Source organism: Homo sapiens, chromosome 4, assembly GCF_000001405.40.
Source record: "Homo sapiens chromosome 4, GRCh38.p14 Primary Assembly".
Classification (NCBI taxonomy): Eukaryota; Metazoa; Chordata; class Mammalia; order Primates; family Hominidae; genus Homo; species Homo sapiens.
In genome coordinates, this window is record NC_000004.12 from 121,641,690 (window position 1) to 121,651,226 (window position 9,537).

General features: G+C 37.9%; 1 long non-coding RNA gene across 1 annotated transcript; it reads right to left on the bottom strand.

Moving 5' to 3' along the window:
- Positions 1-1,505: 1,505 nt before the first annotated feature.
- On the bottom strand, positions 1,506-8,962 carry LOC105377402 (uncharacterized). The gene is made up of 3 exons (XR_939167.3): positions 8,949-8,962; positions 7,902-7,947; positions 1,506-2,929 (listed from the first exon to the last, which is right to left on the bottom strand). It is a non-coding gene; the product is annotated as an uncharacterized LOC105377402 (long non-coding RNA).
- Between the last annotated feature and the right edge of the window lie 575 nt (positions 8,963-9,537).

Below are 9,537 nucleotides of genomic sequence, written 5' to 3' on the forward strand. Positions count from 1 at the left end.
TTCAAAGTTTAATTCTATTTCACAAATCTCTTTTCCTCTTGGATTAATTAGACTGAACAAATATTTTTGTGTCAAAAGTTTAAATAAATAAAGTATGTCTAATCTACTCAATATGAAATATTCTTCTGCCATTAAAGATGATGTTTATACAGAACTTGCAACAATATGGAATCTCAGAAAATGGATTAGGTTGGTTGTGAGGGGAGCTATAATAGTCACGGTTTGGTCAGAGAAGCAAATCCACTAGGAAATATACATAAAATGCATTTACTATGGGAATTTTTCCCTACCCAGTTGTAGGATCTAGTTAAACAATCTATGTGACTCCTTTGTCTCTGTATCTAGTGCCTTAAGTCCACAGGGTGGGGCAGTTGGGAAAGAAAGATGGACACAAAGAGGAAAGAGCAAGGGCAAACAGGAACCTGCTGTCAGGCTAGGATATTCCCCTACTTGCAAGCTGAAAGATTCACCTTCTATTGTTTTATGAATGTTGGCAGAAGACATAAGACACCTGGATCACAGATGAAGTACTTTGTTACTCACAATACAGCAAATGGCATGAACATCATGCTTGTCATAGTCCCCTTTGCTCCCCAAGTCCCACAGGGGCTTTACAGAAAATCTCAGATGGATACTGCACATGCAGCATATCTGTATCACAGCTGAGAAACACTGAGTTTGGAGAATCCATTACTTCTGTAATAAGCAGTAAGTAGTTTGTTCTTTGTCACAGTGGGAGATACGTCATCTTCAGCATTCTTGCTATAAACACAACCTTGAGAAATGACCAAATAAAAGGAGGCTTAAATTCTTGGCACATTCAACAAGAACACAAAGGCATGCTCACAGCGCATGGTGGATTGCCTCTTCCAATACCTCTGAGGCTGAGCTGAAACTCATGAAAGATGGATTGGAACCTTCCCTTATTTCTCACCACTTCCAAGTCTCCAACTTTGATGATGGGTGTGTCCTGCAGGGAAGACCAGTGTTTTTTCATCATAAAGTGAAATACACGTCTGGTCCAGGAGTTGGGGAGGCTGAAGGAGAATAAAGCAGGAGCTGCAGTAGATGCAGGTCCAACTATGGTACAATACTGACCAGGTGAGCCTGGTCTGTTTACAGTTCCATTTAGGTTATAGTTCACAGTGTACAGAAAAACCTTTAGGCCGAACTTAACATACGTAAGGAGGCAGCTTTAGGCTAAACTTGATTTAACACTGGGAACTGAAGGAACAATAGAAACCACACTATCCATGTTGTTTTGGAGGGCTCAAAGAACACCTCCCAGTTCAGTGATACTCTAGGAAGCCTCAAAGGTCCTCGTATAAAGTCACAGTGAAGAGCTATTACAGCAAAAGGGCCTAAAGCAAAATCAGCAGAGGAAAAGTCCCATGGGGCAAAGTCCAGAGGAGGCCACACACAAGCTTCCAAGAGCCCTCTTCCAGTGGATTCCTATGGGACACACTTATTATCCCAGCAATAAGTTAAAGGAAGATCGTTAGAGATTCACTTCTCAAGATTTTTATTGGGGGCCGGTTGTGTAGGCACTCTCTGCTTAACATATATCAAAATTCCGAACTCCCAGAAGGAAAGCAAGAGTTCCACATAATTCATATTGTTTGAACAATTTACGCACAGTGAGCTTCTCTTATCAGTTCTGGTCATGATGAAAACCCTCTCGAAACCCGAATTTCCAGATGCCATCCAAAGGCCAATCTTTCAAGCAGGCATTTCTAAGACTAGCAGTCCCAAACCTGCTGTGTGAACTCTTTTTTTTACACACTTGTCTTCATATGACAACAATCGTGACTCCATTGAAACTCTTGCTTTGTTCTCTTTATATGAGTGTAGAAATATGTTCTTCTGTTTGTTTTTTAAAAACTCATAAAAACAAAACACCTTTTCCCATTTCCATTTTCTGTGGAAAGGATTTTCTTCTAAGCTCTCCTCTTAACCTCCCCTCTTCCCTTTATTTACACTGGCCCTAGAAAGGTGGAGTCAGTTGGGTTAACTGATTGCTAAATTTGGAAAGAATAACTGAGGGTGTTTGACTCAATTCACCCTTAGGATTGTCCTGGCTTCAGGGAACTCATGTTCCTCTGATATTCCAGGAGTCTGACCCTTCAAAGAGAGGCCTACTGTGCTAGTATTGCTGGCACACTCAATGTTAGCAATATTCAATGTTCAATCAATATTCAATATTAGCAACCCATATGGCAGACCAAGAGCCCTTATCCCAACAGTAAAGATAATTTTTGGACCTCCTCTGCCTTATTTTTTGTTTTAGTTTATTAACTTGATCAGAACCAAGTGGGGAGGGGTGTTTCTGTACATGGAGTCCCTTCAGAGGCTCCAACAAACAACAGGAAGAACTATTTTGAAAATGGTAAAACATTACTTATTAGAGTGGTATTTTTTTCTTTCTCTATATCCTCAATTTTCTAAAATATTATCCTATTACTTTCACAATTTTTAAAAATTATTTTTATAGCCAACTGAAAATTATATGCTCAAAAGTTCTTGCTGTCTTTAAAGTCAGAAAGGAGCTATAGCTGATTCTTACATAACGAAGTCATGGGGAGAACTACCTTTATACATACACACGGTTAAGTTGTGATTTATCTGAGGGCTTTGCAGAATCAACAACTGTGGAAAAGTCACAAGAATCACAGTGAAAATCTCTTAAATCATGATTGCATAAGATAAAGGATATATTTGCTCTAGATGGGTAACTCTGAATTATACAATGTTATGGATAAATGTATAATCTATACAGCAATGTCGAGTATATTTTAAAGAATAAGCATGCAAAATATAATGTTGTAGCTTCTCCAGCAGTTTGCACATTTGAAGTTGAAGCAGATTTTTCGATGTTTATGCCCACCTTAGTTGGCTTTCAATTCCTTTGTACCTCTCTTCAGCAGAAAATCTGAAAGTAAAAACTTTTGTAATTGGGTCACCTTTTTGGTTCAATTTTACAACCAAAAGCCTTTCCAACCTCTTACCTAATGCTTTTTTATTCAGCTTAGTATTTATTAGAGTTCTTAATGTCAAGATTTGATAAAGTTCTCTCTTTCAAGATGCCTATTTTTCTGAGCTTTGCAACAAATTGCTATTTATTCACATGACACCATGTTTCATGAAAAGTGTATTATCATTAAACATTATTAGAATCCGACACTTTGTGGTGGGATGCTCAGGCTATGAGAAGCAAGAGGGAATGGATGTCTCCACCCTCTCTCACTACAGGTAAAGAAATCTGAAGTGCAATGTTATACTAACTACCCAAATTTTCTCTCTCCAATATTTCTCTCGCTTTCTCTCTATCTCTGTCTCTTCATCTCTCTTCTATTCTCTCCCCCCGCCCCAATTACATTTGCATTGGCTAAAGTGTATGGTGCTATTTCCTTAATAGAGTTAGCAGTGGAAGAATTAAACTGCTTTCTTAGGCGGGGTGCAGTGGCTCATGCCTGTAATCCCAGCACTTTGGGAGGCCGAAGCCGGCAGATCACTTAAGGCCAGGAGTTTGAGACCAGCCTGGGCAACATGGTGAAACCCTGTATCTACTAAAAATACCAAAATTATCCAGGTATGGTGGTGCTTCTTACTAGGACTTTCATCCATATGTTTGGTATCACAACTATTTCATACTTTATTTTCTTATGCATTGACAGAATGAAACACAAGATGTGTATTGGTCAGAACTCATGGTTACTATTAGTTTCTTTTAAGATAGTTAAACTAGTTTACCTACCTTAAACAAGTTTCTTTCTTTGTGTCAAGGACACTTTCTTTGTGTCAAATACAGTGTCAAAGATGAAATTACCAGAATATGGGGATAATGAAGTCTAAACAAAAATAAGATAATTATTAAAACATGAAATGGATACCCTTCTCACCTTCCTCTTCACCAGATAATCAGGAAGGTGAATACAGTAAACACCTCTTTGATGGCTACCTATGGAGGTGGGTATCCAACAGCCATGACTGTTCTTAGTAACTTTACTGCACAGCTATAGCTTATTGATGCAGGAATGGTCAGCTAACACAAGCTGGACCACTCAAATACTGTCATTTCCAATATTTGAAATTTTGAACTGAAAGACAGAGACAGGGAATTGTTGGAATGGAGTTATAGTAATGGCAACACATAAGGGATGAAAAATTCATGTATTCCTGCTGCTAAGTTCCCAAAATATACTCAGCTGTTTTCCATCATACTCAAGATTTAGTTGTTATTTCCCCTAATTCTTTGAGATGAATCAGTGTTGGTTGTTCATCCAACAGTCATTTTCTTCCCTACCTCTTCCTTGATAACAGAAGCCCTAATTGGTCATTTGTCTAGGAGTCACTGGGCCCCTTCCCAGACCCAAGGCAGTGAAGTTAAAGCCAGGTATGAAGAGTCTCATTCTCCTTACCACTGATTGGTTTATGCACAGGTACGCTACAGAGCTTGGGATAAAGTCAACTTTGTATCACCCAAGCTTTTTATCATCCCCTTCCCCCCTTATCTGGATATCGTCATATCTGCACATGATTCCTGGAACACCTAGAGGCATCTTAAAGCCACAAGGAGAGACTCGCCAACAGGCTGTGGTTAGAGAGAACAGCTAGACAAAAGGTACCTGAGTCTCTGATTGAGCTACTGAATTAGCCAACTCTGGGACCTCTGGGCTTCTTGTTACTTGAGATAATGAAGGTCCATATTATTTAAGCCAGATGTAATTGTGTTTTTGTTTACTTTGGGGTTAAATAAAACCAAGTGATATATCCAATATACTCACGATCAATTTCTTTTTTATACAAAGTACCTGAGTTTATTTCTGCTACTTGCTACCAAAGACTATAAACCAGTAGATTGTGGAACTGTGTGTTCCAGGTTTTACCAGGCTGCATGAACAAATGAGGTCACCTTTACATTAGTACTCCAAACACTGATGCTCTCACCCCACACCTGCTTGAGTAGCAGAAAATTCCATGTTTTATTTATATGTTTCTCCTTAAAGGTTTTCAAAAATCTCATGGAAATTCTTAGACTTGCTAAAGATTTACTAGTTACTTGTTTGTTTTTCATTATAATTTTATCAAATAAGCATGTGTTACTAAAATTATTATTTTAATTTTGTCTCTTCTTTAAAGTTTATATAAATTAAATCATAATATATGTATTTTATATCTTGATTCTTTTTTCACTCAACAATGTATATGCAAGATTTATTCACATTATTTGGTGGAGCTGGAGTTTATTTCATTGCTGAATATTCCATTAAATGATATGTAATAATTTAATTTATCCATTCTACTCTAGATATAGACATGGGTTATATCCAATATTTTTCTTGAATATTTTCTGTCCATGGTAGAATTACACTGTCTTTAAAACTGTATATTCTATTTTCATCACTTAACATTTTAGCATAAGCGTTTTTGTGTTGTTAAATTCTATTCCTAAAGATTATCTCTAACAGCTGTATAACACTTCATTATGTGTACATACTATAATTTATTTAACCATTTCCCTAGGGTTTTCATTTAGATTGTCTTCAATTATTTGTTACTATGAATAATGTTATAGTGAACATTTTTTACACAGATTTATATCTGCATTTCAAAGCATTTCCTTAGGTCATTTCCAAAAACTAGAATTACCATGTCAAGCAGTATAAATATTTTAAATCAAATTTCCCTGCAGAAGGGTTGGACTCATTTATTCTTTCATGAGGAAGAAATGAGAGTGCCTATTTCACCTCATCCTTACAAGCACTAAATATGCTTGCATGTTGTTCCCTCTCTCTCCTCCCCTCTCTCATCTCCTTCAAGGGTTTTGATACAAACCTTGATCACTACTTGGTCAGGTACCAAAAAAGGACTTTTTATGTATAAGAAATTCTAGATGAATTAGACCTTCAAAAAGAAAAAGCATTCAACAATAATAAATAAAAATATCCCTGGATTTTTAAAGAGAAAAATAGAAGAGGAAGGAGAATAAAACTGTGGCCGAAACTAACTAGACGCTCACCAAACACACGTTCTCTTCTAAGCACACAACAAAATTACATTAACTAGTCTCCCTTACATTTGTGTCTATAACAGAGTTCTAGCTAATGGAAAATGGGGAGAAGTGGTGCATGCCAACAAAACTTCCCATACATCACCCTACTTTCTCCATCTATAGGCTAAATGGAGAAAATTCTAAGGACATAGAGGACAGAGCCATAAAAAGAAAGGAGACTTAGTCCCTAAATGATTACATGAAATTCCCTAAATGATCACATAAAATTCCTCCCATCCAGAAATACTCACACTGAAATGAGTGAGGAATAGATTTGATAAGGTTAAGTGTCTGAGAATTCTGGATTTAGATATTAACAGCAGCTGGAATTGTTTATCTTAACTATCACAAAATATTTATTGAATAATTACTATATTCTAGGTGCTTTGTTAGATGTGTTACTTATGTTTCCCTGTTTAATCATTATAGCAATTTTATGCAGAAGTTCTTATTAGTACCATCTTGAAAATAAGTGATTTTCCCAATTAAAGACAAGTGATTTGCCCAAGAGGGAAGAGTCAGAATTTAAATCTGAGTTCCTCTGATGGCAAAGGCCATGCTCATCACACTATCTCATGCTTGCTGTAAGTGTTTTATATACAGAGGCTGTATAAAACACATAGGGACTATGGTGCATTCATTCAACAATCAATCATTGAATGCACACAGGATCTTTTTTTTTTTACATATGTAATGGGGCCTACATCTTCTCATCTCTAACTTATATCTCTTATAAATATAGAAATTGAAACTTAGTCATTTATATTTAGCTAATGTCATAATAAATTTTTTCATATTTTAAATATCAAGGCCATGTATTTACATGTTTTGAGTAGAGGAAAGTGAGGTGGGGCCATAGAAGGGCAGTAGAGAGATTCCTTCTCGATGATTTTGGGCCTGCATCCCGTTTCCAAGTCCCATGAGGTGCCTGGAATGTGGCAAGGCCTTTGACGCAGTGGCTGATGGAAAGCAATAGGGGATGGGGAATGTTGTAGAGCTGCCTCTTAAGTGAACCACACAGCAAGTCACTACAGTGGACTGTTCAAATCACTATGGCATGTTTTAGGCTGCCTGTGCCTCAATAATAACCTACACAAATTTAGCAATCCTGTTCCTAAAGAGAAAATAATCTGTGAATACACACCTTAAAGCTCCAAATTTACAGAGCAATGTCTATCATCAAAAATTAATTTTAGGTATCTTCCTTTTAATTAGCTTCAGCTAATTAGCTGCTAAACTGTACACTACAGATGCTTCAAATTTGCCCCACAACACTAAGATGAAGACATTTCATGCTATTATCTCTTTTTAAAAATCACATCATGTCAGAATCTAAATTCCTCATCTTTCATATTAATAAAATATTTCCCCAAACTTTATCATGCTTTGTGAGTCACCCCCCCTTCCTCGATATCACAAAAGAAATTGGTGGAGCTTACACAATCTCGTTATATATATATATAAAGGGCTTCTAAGGTAACCAGTTCATCTTTGCTCTCTGAAAAGATACAAGTTTAGATGATTCACTTGAAGGAGCAGCTCCAGAACACTCCCATTCCTCAGTCCCTACTGCCCAAATCAGTGACCACATCAAAGACCTTGCCATCTTCCAGGGTACTTCATGGGAACTGGGACTGGAATACAAACCAATCCCACAGAAAGGGCCCCTCTGTACTCTCCCTGCCATCTCAACCTTAGGGCTCTACCTCACCTTCTCTACTCAAAGCCTGCCTTCCTGCTCAGGGGTAATACTACATAATCCCCTCATCCTACTTCCACTCCTACCACCCAAAACTCATGAACCAGAGACGCTTCTCACGGCTCAAACCTAAGGGAACACAACACCAACCTTTTCTTTCTGGATTTCAGTGAGGAAACGAGATCTTAATTCCTTCCTGGTGAGGATTCAGCAGCAGCAACAACAAAAGAAAAAACAAGAAAGTAATAATAATGATGCTTTCACATATATAAAAACAGAACCTAGCAATACACATTGATAACATAAAACTAGTCATTTTACTTAAGATTATATTTTAATAAAGAGCCACTAGAATCAGGATCTTCTCAGCATCATTCATTAACTACTCAGGAATGGTCTGCTTCATTCATCTCACAGGCAGTCCCACATTTATTATTCAGCAAATGTTTGTCACATGCTTTCTACATGCCAGCCATAGCACTGGAAGCTGGGGATATAAAAATGTCCATGCTTGAGCATTTCCTCTGTCCAGGTGTGCCTTCACAATTATTAACTCATGTTAGTTCTCAATGAAGTGCAACAATATTATCTTCATTTTATACATGAGGAAAACATCAGAGAAATCAAGTAAACTGCTCAGTCATAGAGCTGGTAATTGGTAGAGAAGGGATTCTAACTCAGTTGGTCTGGCTTGAGAGCCATACTCTTTATCAGTACTCTAGTGAGATATATTAGGTATTTCTGTATAGCACCCATATTAGCATAATGATTGCCAGAACACCCCATCCACATCCCCCTACTGAACCCTGGGGTTTCCCATTCCAGCATCCCTTTCCCTAAGACCCACCTAACTCAGATGCATCCCGCCATCCAGGATCCTCCAACCAAAACCCTGATCTGCACTTCCCCAGGGTAGATATAGACCTTTAACACCCTAAACACTAAAAAGATTTTGGTGGGCATTCCCAGCCAATATGTACTGAAAAACACAATTTAATATTTTGAAATGATACAAGCTTAACTACACAGTAAGAAAAACCATTTCATTCAGGCCAGCCGTGGTGGCTCATGCCTGTGATCCTAGCACTTTGGGAGGTCAAGACTGGGGGATCACTTGAGCCTAGGAATTCGAGGCCAGCCTGGGCAACCTCGTCTCTACAAAAAATACAAAAATTAGCTGAGCGTGATGGTACACACCTGTAGTCCAAGCTACTCGGGAGGCTGAGGCAAGAGGATCACTTGAGCCTGGGAGGTCAAGGCTGTGGTGAGCCGTGATTGGACCCCTGCACTCCAGTCTGGGTAACAAAGTAAGACCCTGTCTCAAAAAAAAGGAAATAATTTTGTTCTAAATTTTTAGATATAAATTTATATGAAAGTTTATTGAAGCTGAATCAACATCTCTTCGTTTTCTCCCCCTTTTTTCCCTTTTGTCTTCCTGACATAAGTTTACACTTAATGTAGGTAATCCAGTCCAGCCCAGTCTGGCAAGGTATTTAGGAGGCCCACAGGGGAGGCTGCTCCATTAGACTGAAATTACTTTAAGCTCTTAAGCAGAGATTACTCTTCTCCACAAAAAGAGATGATCCTCAGTAGCAGTGATTATCTGTAATTTCTTGAAGTTCTTATGAACTCTAAAATTCTACGTGGCTCTAGCTGTTATAATCATTGTTTGCTTAGGTTTTTTGTTTTAAAGAAGGAGAAATGAAAATACCATGGCCTTAGTCTTCTGTGGAGTTTTTGGTTTATGTCTGCAAAACATTGTGCTCTGCTTGATGATAAATGTACC